This window comes from Homo sapiens, chromosome 2, assembly GCF_000001405.40.
Source record: "Homo sapiens chromosome 2, GRCh38.p14 Primary Assembly".
Classification (NCBI taxonomy): domain Eukaryota; kingdom Metazoa; phylum Chordata; class Mammalia; order Primates; family Hominidae; genus Homo; species Homo sapiens.
Window position 1 is genome coordinate 148,675,527 of NC_000002.12, and position 14,679 is coordinate 148,690,205.

Sequence of the window (14,679 nt, forward strand, 5' to 3'; positions counted from 1 at the left end):
TTAATGGTACCCTCTTCTATCTGTATAAAATGATGGGCTTTCAACAAGTAGGCAAGGAAGTGCTTTTTTCATTCTAACTCTTTCTAGCTGGTGTTCATAAATCCCTATCATCTCTGATTTTCTGTGGGTCAGATGGGCCCAGTATCTATCCTCTCTCCTGCTCTTTTCAATTTTAGTTTCCCAGAATTTTACGGCACTCTTGTGCTGATGGCCTATCTCATTGTTTTTGTCATTGTGGTTTTATACGTTTTTTAGTCCATTACTAATAAGCTTACATTATAAGGTGGTAGAGTATATAAGTATAGGCATTCAGTCAGCTATCTTTAGTTGGGAGTTTTAAAATAGCAATGAATAATCTTTGGCTATGTGTGTAGCCTAATTCAGTGGATAAATCCTGAAAGCCAGGAAGTTGGGGCATGAACTTGGTAAGATGGAAAAGCGCCAGACAAGGATTCAAATTTCATTCTTGCTGATTTCTACCAGTGTGGCCATAGAACCTTAGTTCATTCGTCCCCAAAAGAAAAACAACAACAACAATAACATACTACTTCTCTGCATCTTGGTACTCATTGTGTATGACTAAAAGTCATGAATTACTTAGTTTTTTTTTTTTTAAAGTCTGCTTTATTTACCATGTAATTTCATGTTTTCAGGGGAAAATAAAAAGTAGAAAGTGTATAATGTCTTTACAGAAACTCAGAAAAATGCTCAAGCGTAATTATAGTAGGTTTCAAAAAGATTTTTCAGAATGTCAAAGTAGCTATAAGAAGTGATTTTGTGTATCTTGGTGGAGAGGTGTATCTAGGTTTCAAAAAGATTTTTCAGAATGTCAAAGTACCTATAAGAAGTGATTTTGTGTATCTTGGTGAAGAGATGTTTCAATTAAAATGCAATATTTTTATAACATTAAAAAACTTTATTTTATAACATTAATATAATTAAAAAGTAATACAGATTTACTACAGAAGATTTAGAAAATACAGAGGGCACACAGAAAAAAATAACAATCACTTAATTAGTTAGCATTTTGTGGTATATTCTATTCATCTAGGCTCCTTTCTCTACATATATATGTATTTATATTTGCTCATGTTATTTTATAACCTGCTTGTTTACTTCATATCCTAGTTTTTTTTTTAAGTGGAGATCTAAAGTTATGTTGTTTTTTTACTGCTGCCTAAGCAAGAGTTCAGTCTTATGTGTAATAGTGTAATTTACATAAGTAATTCCCTGTTTATTGACATTTAGGTGCTCTCTCTCTCTCTCTCTCTCTCTGTCTCTCTTTTTGTCTTATAAACAGTGCCATGATGACCATTTTTATATAGCCATTATTACCCACTTTTTTTGGGGGGGGGGTTGAATTCCATAAACAGAGTTGGTGGGTCAAAGGGATACCTTTTTAAAGGAAAGGAAATCACGTAGTGCCTGTGCTTGAGTTTAGTTATTTTTAAAAGCCTAGTAACCTACCAAAGTATAACGCAGCATGTAACAATGTAACAAGGAATTGATATTACCTCTGTCTACCCTTTCCCCAAAAAAGACAAACCAGAACTCTGGTACCTACTTCCAGGATTCTACATGTTTACAACTAGTCATGTTTATTATATGAAACACAGTCCTCTAAAAACGTTTACTGTATTTTCTTCTGGTTTTTTGGTTTGAGAGACTGTCTCATAATCTGGTGAAAGAAATGAAGATGAGATTTATTTTTAGAGCTAAATTTGGTCTGTAAGTTAAATTGAGGGAGGATGTCATGATCTGGCTCCTTAATTTCTGGATTCAGCTCTGTCATCTGCCAACTCTCTTAACAAGAAGAGAGTCATCTGTGATCTGTTTAAAAATTTTCTCATTTATGAAATTAAAATAAGGCCAGCATGCTGGCTCATGCTTGTAATCCCAACACTTTGGGAAGCTGAGGCAGGATAATTGCTTAAGGCCAGGAGTTCAAGACCAACTTGGGCAACATAGTGAGACTCCATCTCTATAAAAAATTTTAAAAATTATCTAGGTTTGGTGGTACGCACTTGTATTCCCAGCTACTTGAGAGGCTAAGGCAGTGTGTCCGGAATTGGTGGGTTCTTGGTCTCACTGACTTCAAGAATGAAGCCGTGGACCCTCGCGGTGAGTGTTACAGTTCTTAAAGGTGGTGTGTCCAGAGTTTGTTCCTTCTGATGTTCAGATGTGTTCGGAGTTTCTTCCTTCTGGTGGGTTCGTGGTCTCGCTGGCTCAGGAGTGAAGCTGCAGACCTTTGCAGTGAGTGTTACAGCTCTTAAGGCGGCGCATCTGGAGTTGTTTGTTCCTCCCGGTGGGCTTGTGGTCTCGCTGGCTTCAGGAGTGAAGCTGCAGACCTTCACGGTGAGTGTTATAGCTCATAAAGGCAGTGTGGACCCAAAGAGTGAGCAGTAGCAAGATTTATTGCAAAGAGCGAAAGAACAAAGCTTCCACAGTGTGGAAGGGGACCCGAGCGGGTTGCCACTGCTGGCTCCCGCAGCCTGCTTTTATTCTCTTATCTGGCCCCACCCACATCCTGCTGATTGGTAGAGCTGAGTGGTCTGTTTTGACAGGGCGCTGATTGGCGCATTTACAATCCCTGAGCTAGACACAAAGGTTCTCCACGGTCCCCACCAGAGTAGCTAGATACAGAGTGTTGATTGGTGCATTCACAAACCTTGAGCTAGACACAGGGTGCTGATTGGTGTGTTTACAAACCTTGAGCTAGATACAGAGTGCCGATTGGTGTATTTACAATCCCTGAGCTAGACACAAAGGTTCTCCACGTCCCCACCAGACTCAGGAGCCCAGCTGGCTTCACCCAGTGGATCCCGCACCAGGGCTGCAGATGGAGCTGCCGGCTAGTCCCACACATTGCACCCGCATTCCTCAGCCCTTGGGTGGTTGATGCGACTGGGTGCCGTGGAGCAGGGGGTGGCGCTTGTTGAGGAGGCTCGGGCTGCGCAGGAGCCCATGGAGGGAGTGGGAGGCTTAGGCATGGCGGGCTGCAGGTCCCGAGCCCTGCCACACGGGAAGGCAGCTAAGGCCCTGCGAGAAATCGAGCGCAGCACTGGTGGGCTGGCACTGCTGGGGGACCCAGTACAGCCTCCGCAGCCGCTGGCCCGGGTGCTAAGCCCCTCATTGCCTGGGGCCGGCTGCTCCGAGTGCAGGGCTGGCCAAGCCCACGCCCACCTGGAACTCCAGCTGGCCCGCAAGCGCTGCATGCAGCCCTGGTGCCCACTTGTGCCTCTCCCTCCACACCTCCGTGCAAGCTGAGGGAGCAGGTTCCAGCCTTGGCCAGCCCAGAAAGGGGCTCCCACAGTGCAGCGGTGGGCTGAAGGGCTCCTCAAGTGCCGCCAAAGTGGGAGCCCAGGCAGAGGAGGCGCCAAGAGCGAGCGAGGGCTGTGAGGACTGCCAGCACTCTGTCACCTCTCAGCGGGAAGACCACTTGAGCCTAGGAATTTGAAGTTACAATGCACTATGACCATGCCACAGCACCCCAGCCTGGGTGACAGAGTGCGACCCTGTCACTAAAACAAAATAATATTGAATCCTCATATATTAAAGATGTATTTTGATAACTGGATCTAAAAATGTTTTGTACTTTGGGGAAAGTGAAGTATGTATCCAAAGAATTGCTTTAAATACATATGCTGCCATTTAGCTCAGTTTCTTCTTATTTACCCATATCTGTAGATCATCAGCATTACTAGGACAGGTTTTTCATCTTTATACTAACACTCTTCTCTAGTAAGGATGGAGTAAAGAACCCTGGAATTAGTCTTGAAATTTGATTCTCTTGTAAAATGATGCCATAACTAAGAGCAAATCACCTGTTTCTTGAGTCTTATTTATAAAATAATATAAATATCTACCAATATATCCCAAGATTGTGAGGACCTAATAAGCACATGATTGCAGAGGCTCTCTGAGAACTGTAAAACATTACATAACTGCAAGGTGACATTGTATATTTCATCACTTTCTGTGACCAGCAAGGTGAGATGTAAGAAAAGTATAGGAGAACATGGGCTTAAATCGTTAGAAATTACTGATTCCAGCCTTGGCTTCCTAGTTCTTTGATGTTGTTTGTTGTTGTAGGTGTGTGGTTCTCACTGCCTTAGAGCAAAAGTTTGTTTTTTGAGAGAGAGAGGGTCTTGCTCTATCTCCCAGGCTGGAGTGCCGTGTTGCAGTCACAGCTCACTGCAGCCTCCCATTCCTGCGCTCAAGTGATCCTCCTGACTCAGCCTCCAAAATAACTAGGACCACTGATGTGAGCCACCACATCCAGCTAATTTTTATTTTTTTAATAGAGAATCATAGTCTCACCATGTTGCCCAGGGTGGTCTCGATCTCCTAAGCTGAAGCGATCCTCCTGTCTTGCCTCCCAAAGTGTTGGGATTATAGACATAAGCCACTGCGCCTGGCAAAAGTTTTTACTACTAATAGATTCTAACTAAATTTGTAGTAATACTTGAATGGGAAAATGTATTTGGTGTTCCAACTTGGGATTCTGCCCTATTAAGAAAAACATATTTCTGCCTGGCACTGGAAGCCCTTTTCTCAAGCCCCTTTTTTTTTTTTTTTAAATGTTTCTGGACCTTTGTTCATTTTGGACATAATGTTTTCTCTGCCTCGCTTATTTATTTCTTCTTTTGCCCTGCTAAATCCCTATTGATCCTAAAAGTCAATAGTTTAGATTTTACTTTCTTTGGGCATCTTTCCCTAACCTTCCAAGATGAGTGGTTTGACTAGTTGAGATTGGACATGCTTGTGAAGTTCAAACATGATTGCATACTTCATTATCTCTCTCTGACTAGGTGAGTTTCTTAATGGCAGAGACTGTTTCTCATTCAACAGTTCTCAATAACAGGATAATATCCGGTGTTTAATAGGTGTTCTCAAGTGTATAGAAATGATGCCTACTGATAAATAATTTTTAATTCATGCATTGTAGCATATTCAGCCATCTAGTTTCGTTTACTCTAGTGCACTTCTATATCTTGAGGCCGGATATTTATTTCGTTTGGAGGTTGATAAATGTTCACTTAGAAAGCCTCTGTGGTGCTTAAGGACCCTGAAATATTTGTTGAGCCAACTTGGTCACTATAAACATAGAATGAAGTTGACAGAGAAATTGATGGCATTGAGGTAAGATGAGTCATAGATTCTAGACCTGAGTGAAGAAATAAGAGCTATAAGGGAATCTGATGAAGAAAATGGAAAGGTCAAGAAGCTGGAGATTTTCATGAATTTGAAGACTAGGCATAGTGAGTGAGAAGATATGTGTGAACTCAGGGAATAGGAAGTAGAAATTGTATTCAGAAGAGGACCAGTATATAAAGAAACAAAAGCATAAAACAGTATGCTGTTACTGGGGAATAGCAAGAAGGTTGCTGTAATTTTAGAGAAGGATATTTGGGAGAGGTATGGTGCTAGAATGATAATAGGTTGGACTGCTTCAGATGAGACATGTTTGTCAAGCTCAAAAAATGAGACTTTATCCTGTAGATGGTGGGCAACTTGCCTTTTTCTTTAGTATGATGTAGAAGCTCCATGAGCTTATGGTGTGCCAGGCACTGGGGACAAAGTGGTAGATGCAAAACAGACACATTGTCTTGCCCCACAGTCCAGTGGAAGAAGGAGGCAGAAATCACATGGTTACAAAAACAGATATAAACGTCCACTTCTGAGAAGCCTATGCTGGAAAGGTGTGTGTTTCCGAGAACTGATAAAAGAGATTTTTTTTTTCCACTTAGGATGGTCAGATTTCACTGAAGACGTGACATTTTAAATGTGGACCAGAAGGGTTTATTTAGGAGAAGTAGGGGATTGTTATTGGGGGAGGGGGCTGTGTGGAGAATGGCAGGTAGGAGAAATAGTAATTCATGTTGCTGTTTCAGAGTTTACAAATCTCTCAAAGGCTACATTTGTTTAATTTTGTTACAGGCAGTAAGACCTTATCAAAACACAAATGGGTAGTTTGAATATATTAGGGTTTTCTTAAAAACAGTTTTGACTGCGATCGACAATAAAAAACATTTTACAAACGTATATGACTGAAATAACTTTTTACATTCAGTACTCTCTGATTTTTTTTCTTTTCCGTAAAAAAAAATTGCTGACTATGACCTATTAGTGGGTGCAGTTTGAAAAACATGGGGTAAAATGACTGGTTAGGTTTGTTTGTTTGTTTGTTTCTTTCTTTCTTTTTTAATTATACTTTAAGTTCTAGGGTACATGTGCACAACATGCAGGTTTGTTACATAGGTATACATGTGCCATGTTGGTTTGCTGCACCTATTAACTCGTCATTTACATTAGGTATTTCTCCTAATGCTATCCCTCCCCCTACCCCCTACCCGACAACAGGCCCCCGGGGTGTGATGTTCCCCACCTTGTGTCCAAGTGTTCTCATTATTCAGTTCCCACCTATGAGTGAGAACATGCGGTGTTTGGTTTTTTGTCCTTGTGATAGTTTGCTCAGAATGATGGTGTCCAGCTGCATCCATGTCCCAGCAAAGGAAATGAACTCATCCTTTTTTATGGCTGCGTAGTATTCTGTGGTGTATATGTGCCACATTTTCTTAATCCAGTCTGTCATTCATGGACATTTGGGTTGGTTCCAAGTCTTTGCTATTGTGAATAGTGCCGCAGTAAACATATGTGTGCATGTGTCTTTATAGTAGCATGATTTATAATCCTTTGGGTATATACCCAGTAATGGGATTGCTGGGTCGAATGGTATTTCTAGTTCTAGATCCTTGAGGAATCATCACACTGTCTTCCACAATGGTTGAACTAGTTTACACTCCCACCAACAGTGTAAAAGCATTCCTATTTCTCCACATCCTCTCTACCTTGTCATTTTATGTTTATAAAGTTATTATCAGTATTCATAAGCCTTTATCTCCACTAATTAATGAGTAGTGTTTTTGACCTGTGGTTACTGGGGTGCATTGAGTGCACACCAAAACCCTTGTTCAGTTTTAAAACTAAATATGTTTTGAAAACTCTCCAATACATAATCTTATTATTGTATAGAGTTTTTTTTGGGAGGAAAGTTGCAGAGAGTCGAGTTACTCATATACCTCAGTTTTGTGGTACGTTGTTACTGTTGGTTTCTACAAGGGCCTTCTCTTTTCCTCTCCTCCCCTCCTCTCACTGTATTTTCATTTTTATTATGGAATTATTAAACATACACAAGTATAATGAATCTCCATGTGGTCATCTTCTGCAGTTAATCACATATGGCCAATCGTGTTTTGTCTCTGACACTGTAGTCCAATACGGCCTGAATTTGAAAGGGTATTGCAAGACTCCTCTCTGGTTTCCTTTATTCTGTTCTCTCTCTGCTACTCCCATTCTTTTCTCTACCCTCTCAGGCAACCAACTAATATATTTAATGTGTCTCTTTTGGCAAAATCCATACTGTTTTATGTACATTTGCTTTTAATTTATAGAAATCACATGTTATATCTGATTCTATTTCTTACAAGTTTTCTGAATTAACACTGCTTTTTTTTTCCTTATTCACAAAATATATCACAAGGATCTTAAATTTTTTTTTTTTTAATTTCAATAGCTTTGGGGAAACAGGTGGTGTTTGCTTGCTTGGAAAAGTCCTTTAGTAGTGATTTCTGAGATTTTGGTGCACCCATCACCTGAGCAGTGTACACTGTACCCAGTGTCTAGTCTTTTATCCCTTAATCCCCTCTCATCCTTCCTGCCAAGTCTCCAAAGTCCATTATATCATTTTTTTTTTTTTGAGATGGAGTCTTGCTGTGTTGCCCAGGCTGGAGTGCAGTGGCATGATCTCGGCTCACTGCAACCTCCACCTCCCGGGTTCAAGCAATTCTCCTGCCTCAGCCTCCCAAGTAGCTGGGACTACAGTCATGCACCACCACTGCCGGCTAATTTTTGTAATTTTAGTAGAGACAGGGTTTCACCATGTTAGCCAGGATTGTCTCGATCTCCTGATCTCGTGATCCACCCACCTCGGCCTCCCAAAATACTGGGATTACAGCTGTGAGCCACCACACCTGGCCCATTATATCATTCTTATGCCTTTGCATCCTCATAGCTTAGCTCCCACTTATAAATAATAACGTGATGTTTGGTTTTCCATTCCCGAGTTACTTCATTTAGAATAATGGTCTTCAACTCTATCCAGGTTGCTGCAAATGCCATTATTTCATTCCTTTTTATGCCTGAGTAGTATTCCATGGTATATATACACCACATTCACTCCTTAGTTGATGAGCATTTAGGCTGGTTTCATATTTTTGCAATTGCAAATTGTACTGCTGTAAATGCGTGCAAGTGTCTTTTTCATATAATGATTTCTTTTCCTTTGGGTAGTTACCCGGTAGTGGGATTACTGGATCAAATCTACTTTTAGTTCTTTAAGGAATCTCCATACTGTTTTTCCATAGAGGTTGTACTAGTTTACATTCCCACCAGCAGTGTAAAAGTGTTCCTTTTTACCACATCCACACCAACATCATTACTTTTTAATTTTTAAATTATGGCCATTCTTGCAGGAGTAAGGTGGTATCTCATTGCAGTTTTGATTTGCATTTCACTGACGATTAGTGATGTTGAGCATTTTTTCATTGTTTGTTGGCCATTTATGTATCTTTCTTTTGAGAATTGTCCATTCATGTCCTTTGCCCACTTTTTGATGGGATTGTTTTTTTTCTTGCTGATTTGAGTTCCTTGTAGATTCTGAATATTAGTCCTTTGTTAGATGCATAGTTTGCAAATATTTTCTCCCACTCTGTGGGTTGTCTCTTTGCCCTGCTGATTATTTCTTTTGCTGTGCAGAATCTTTAGTTTAATTAGGTCCCATCTATTTATCTTTGTTGCATTTGCGTTTGGGTTCTTGGTCATGAACTCGTTGCCTAAGCCAATGTGTAGAAGAGTTTTTCCGATGTTATGTTCTAGAATTTTTATGGTTTCAGGTCAGTTGATTTTTGTATAAGGTGAAAGCTGAGGATCCAACTTGATTCTTCTACACGTAACAGTGCTTCTAAGATGCATCACATTGTATATGCATCTGGACTGTTGATACCAACTGTTTGGTAATATTCATGATGAGCATCTACCACATTTGACTTCCCTACTGTCCCACTCATAGATACCCACGTTGCCTCAAACTTTCCTCTACAGCGGATACCATTTCAGTGAACCCCTATGCCTACTTACATACCTGCGTGAGGTTTTCTTTGGGTTATACAGTCAAGACAGGAGTTGCTAGTTCACAGATTATGCAGATTCAGTTTGAGTAATTAATCACGTTGCTCTCTGGAATGGTAGAAAGTCTGTGCTTCCATAGTCATACATGCCGGAATTTGTATCATATCCTTGCCAACACTTGGCATTATTTTAGTTTTTTATTTTTGCCAGCCTAATCAGTATAAATCGTCTCATAAAATTTTTTAAACTTGTGTTTTTCTGATTACTAATGAATTTGCACATCTCTTCACATACTTGTTAGCCTTTTGGGTTTTCTCTTCTGTAAATTGCCTATTTATATCTTTTACCCATTTTTCCTTTAGGGTTACTTTTCCTGTTAATTTGCAGGAGTTTCTTATATATTCTTGATAGTAATCATTTATAGGTTTTAGACATTTAAAATAACATACTATTTTGTCATAAATTTATTAACTTTGTCCGTGGTGTCCTTTATTGAACAAAAATTTTTAATTTTAATATAATGGATTTCGTTGAGTTTTTTTTTTCTTTATTGTTCGTACTTCTGAAATTTTAAGGAGTTCTCTGCTCTTACAGCTGAAAGATATTTCCCTTTGTTTTCTTCTGTCTATGGTTTTATTTAGCATGTTTAGATATATACAGATATTGTAGGTTTGGTTCCAAGCCACCACAATAAAGCGAGTAACACTAAATAAAGCAAGTTACATGAATATTTTGGTTTCACAGTGCATATAAAAGTTATGCTGGCTGGGCACGGTGGCTCACGCCTGTAATCCCAGCACTTTGGGAGGCTGAGGTGGGCAGATCACGAGGTCAGGAGATCGAGACCATCCTGGCTAACACGGTGAAACACCGTCTCTACTAAAAATACAAAAAAATTAGCCGGGTGTGGTGGCGGGAGCCTGTAGTCCCAGCTACTCAGGAGGCTAAGGCAGGAGAATGGCGTGAGCTCCGCTTCGGGGGGCAGAGCCTGCAGTGAGCCAAGATTGCGCCACTGCACTCTAGCCTGGGCGACAGAGTGAGATTCCATCTCAAAAAATAAAAATAAAAAAATAAAAGTTATGCTTATACTATACTGTGGTCTATTACGTATGCACTAGCACTGTGTCTAAAATATATCCATTCCTTAATTTTAAAATGCCCTATTGCTAAAAAATGGTTGCTAACGGTCATCTGAGCTTTCGGTTATTCACAATCTTTTTACTGTTGGAGGGTCTTGCCTTGATGTTAATGGCTAGACTGATCAGGGTAATGTTTGCTAAAGGTTAGGTGGCTGTGGAAGTTTCTTATAATAAGACAATAGTGAAGTTTGCTGCATCAGTTGACTCATGAAAGAATTTGTTGTAGCATGTGATGCTGTTTGATAACATTTTACTCACAGTAGAACTTTTTTCAAAATTGCATTCTCAAACCCTGCTCCTGCTTATCAACTTTGTATAATGTTCCAAATCCTTTGTTGTCAGTTCAGCAATGTTCACAACATCTTCACCTGCAGTAAATTCCATCTCAAGAAACCACTTCCTTGCTCATCCATAAGAAACAACTCCTCATCTGTTCAAGTTTTATGAAATTGCCACAATTTGGTCACATAATATTCTGAACAGGCTCCACTTCTAATTCTAGTTTTCTTGCCATTTCCACTACATCTTCAGTTACTTCCTTTACTGAAGTCTTGAACTCCTCAAAGTCATCCATGAGGATTAGAATTCCCTTCTTTCAAACTCCTGTTAATGTGGGCATTTTGACCTCTTTCTATGAATCATGAATGTTCTTAATGACATCTACAATAGTGAATCCTTTTCAGAAGGTTTTCAGTTTACTTTGCTCAGATCCATCAGAGGAATTTATGGCAGCTATTGCCTTACAAAATGGATTTCTTAAATAAAAACTTGAAAGTCAAAATTACTTTTAATCCATGGACTGCAGAATGAATGTTGTCTTAGCAGGCATGAAAATAGCATTAATCTCCTTGTTCATCGCCATCAGACTTCTTGGGTGACCATATGCATTGTTGGGTAGTTGTATTTTAAACTAATTTTTTTTTCCCTGAGCAGTAGCCCTCAACAGTTAGCTTAGAATATTTATTAAACCTGTAGAGCACAGGCAGAGTAGATTTAGCGTATTCTTGAGGGCCTTAGGATTTTTGGAATGGTAAATGAGCATTGACTACAATTAACATTACCAGCTGATTAGCCCCTAACAAGAGAATCAGTCTGTTCTTTGAAGCTTTGAAACCAGGCGTTGACGTTTCCTCTCTAGCTGTAAAAGTCCTAGATGGCATCTTCTACCAGTAGAAGGCTATTTCATCTACATTGAAAATCTATTATTCAGTGTAGCCACCTTCATCAGTGATCTTAACTAGATCTTCTAGATGACTTGTGATGTTTCTCCATCAGCACTTGCTGCCTCACCTTGCGCTTTTATGTTATGGAGATGGATTTTTGCCTTCAACCTCATGAGCCAATCTCTGCCATCTTCTAACTTTTTTCCTGTAGCTTTTTCACCTCTCTCAGCCTTCATAGAATTGAAATGCCTTGCCCTGGATTAGGCTTTGGCTTACGGGAATGTTGTGGCTGGTTTGACATTGACCACTGACCAGACCACTGAAACTTTCTCTGTCTCACCAATAAGGCTGTTTTGCTTCGTTATTATTTGTGTGTTCACTAGAGTGGCACTTAGTGAGCTTAAAAAGGAGCAGAAAATGTGGCTTTATAATATTTTGTGATTTCTAGTAGGCAGGTCTCCGTTCTCATGCCACATTTTCTGCTGCTTTTTAAGTTTACTTAGCTATTCCTAGACTTCTGTTCCTTAGCCAAATTTCATGGCATTTTTCTTAAATATGCTTTCTTGATTTAACTTATTCTGACAAAATGCCAAAGAGATGCTGACTATGATGTAGTATAGATGATTATTTGGGGAAAAGCAGGTATGACTTGATTGGATCTGACAAAACGATGCTGCTTGTGGGAGTCCCAATAGCTGCCCTGGCTTACTGTTCACTTGTCTATGGCATAGAAGCTTGTTTGCCCACTTCCTCATATTGTATTTCTTTTCTTTCCCGTTTGTTTTTATGTCTCTGTCTCTCTGCTTTCTTTAACGGTAATTACTGGCAGAAGATCATGAAATTAATTATTTTCTTATTATTTGGTATCTATCCCCCTCTATCATCTTACCTTCCTTTTAAAGTACTAGTTATAATCAAACTAATCTACTGTGTATTTTGCATAGAATGGACCTTCAGTTTAATTTTATTTATGTCTTGCTGAACGAAACTTTTCTTTTTGGATCACTGCACTAATTCCTTTTGTATAATAACATTTCACATACCCTAAAGGCTTGAATGAAATTAAGACCTTCTAATTTCCAAAAAAATGGTGTAATATCTTAGGATTAAGAATTTTGGCTTTGCAAGACTTGGAACCAACCCAAATGTCCAACAATGATAGACTGGATTAAGAAAATGTGGCACATATGCACCATGGAATACTATGCAGCCATAAAAAATGATGAGCTCATGTCCTTTGTAGGGACATGGATGAAGCTGGAAACCATCATTCTCAGCAAACTATTGCAAGGGCAAAAAATCAAACACCACATGTGCTCACTCATAGGTGGGAATTGAACAGTGAGAACACATGGACACAGGAAGGGGAACATCACACACACCAGGGCCTGTTGTGGGATGGGGGGAGGGGGGACGGATAGCATTAGGAGATATACCTAATGCTAAATGATGAGTTAATGGGTGCAGCACACCAACATGGCACATGTATACATATGTAACAAACCTGCACATTGTACACATGTGCCCTAAAACTTAAAGTATAATAATAATAAAATTTTAAAAAAAGAATTTTGGCTTTGCATATATATGTATATCCTGAATTGTGTTTCTGTTTTGTTACTTAGAACTGTTTGACCTCAACAACTTACAAAACATCCTTATGCCTCAGTTTCTTTATATGCATTTTGCATAGCTTGACATATAGTAGGAATCCAGTAAAGATTTCATTTATTCATTCAGTTAATGTATGTTAAGCAGCTTCTATATTTTGGCCATTGTACTAGGCATTAGGGATAAGAAATTAACAAAACAAGCAAAAATCATTGCCTCCTTGGAACTTACTTTATGCTAGGGGGAGAGGGGCAGTAAACAAATGAGATCTTTACTATGATGTTGCAAAGTGGTATGGAGGAAAGTAAAACAGGAAAGGTATGGAGGAAAGTAAAACAGGGAAGGAATGCTAGAGGAGGAGTACTCTTTTAGATTAGAAAAAAAAGTCACGGAAGGCCTCTCTGCTAAGATAAGACTGGAAGCAATTTTGAAAGCAGACCGTTTGGATATATAGAAACAGCAACATCAGTGTGGCTAGAATTAAAGATTGGAGAGGAGAGAGGTTGGAAATGAGATAAGAGAGATGCAGAGTCTTGTAGGTCATTGAGTGAAATTTTTTTTTTTTTTGAGACGGAGTCTCGCTGTGTCGCCCAGGCTGGAGTCCAGTGGCGGATCTCGGCTCACTGTAACCTCTGCCTCCTGGGTTCACGCCATTCTCCTGCCTCAGCCTCCTGAGTAGCTGGGACTAGAGGCACCCGCCACTACGCCCGGCTAATTTTTTTTGTATTTTTAGTAGAGTCGGGGTTTCACTGTGTTAGCCAGGATGGTTTCGATCTCCTGACCTTTTGATCCGCCCATCTTGGCCTCCCAAAGTGCTGGGATTACAGGCATGAGCCACCACCCAGCCATTGAGTGATTTTTAACCTTTACTCTGAATAGGATGGAGATCAGAAATCCTTTATGGGGTGGGTGGCATGACACGATTTACCTTCCAAAAGGTAAAACTGTTTTATTGGGAATGGGCCATTGTGGGGGAAGGGAGGAAGGAGGGAAAATTCTATTTAGGAGGCTATTTCAGTAAGTTGTGGAAGTAATGAAGTGATTAGAAACTGGATATATGTTATAGGAACTGTTCATTTAACCTTTATTTAAAAATATTTTCTGCCCTGGTAGTAATAAAACTTGTTGAACATAATTTTATCTTTCTTTGAAATATTCAGAATTTTGTACTGTTAAAGTTTGAAGTAATAAATGCAGAAGATACTTAAAATCTGTGATACAAATTTATTTCCTGTAATTTGGAATTTTTCTTTCATCTGGTAGTGGTGACAAACACCTCAATTAATCTAGCAAACAGATTAATTTTTTGTAATTGAAATTTTATATTCTAGTTTCTGAGTATATATTTAATTTTGTTTAAAAAATTCTACTTACAAAAATTGTAATAATCTAAGGTGTTATCAGTATGAGCCACGAGTATTAAGAGAGAATGATGACAATGTAACTGTAGGTCTTTGGCAAAGGAACTATTTATAATTGATTCTTAAAGCACTTTGTGATTATTAAACAAAGTAACTTTTATATAAAATTATGCATTGATTAATATTACTAAAACAACTTATGTTGCCTACTTTACA

The 14,679-nt window shown here is 39.3% G+C and overlaps 1 protein-coding gene across 2 annotated transcripts in view, besides 1 other annotated feature; it reads left to right on the forward strand.

Moving 5' to 3' along the window:
* Positions 1-14,679, forward strand: part of EPC2 (enhancer of polycomb 2) — a 142,819-nt gene that overhangs the window by 30,776 nt on the left and 97,364 nt on the right. The gene's annotated exons all lie outside the window — the stretch shown is intronic.
* Positions 2,498-3,097: an enhancer, noted in NCBI's record as "H3K27ac-H3K4me1 hESC enhancer chr2:149435593-149436192 (GRCh37/hg19 assembly coordinates)". NCBI's record gives its function as "activates a minimal SCP1, AML or CMV promoter by ChIP-STARR-seq in primed H9 embryonic stem cells {active_cell/tissue: H9 hESC(primed)}" and the evidence as "EXISTENCE:reporter gene assay evidence [ECO:0000049][PMID:30033119]".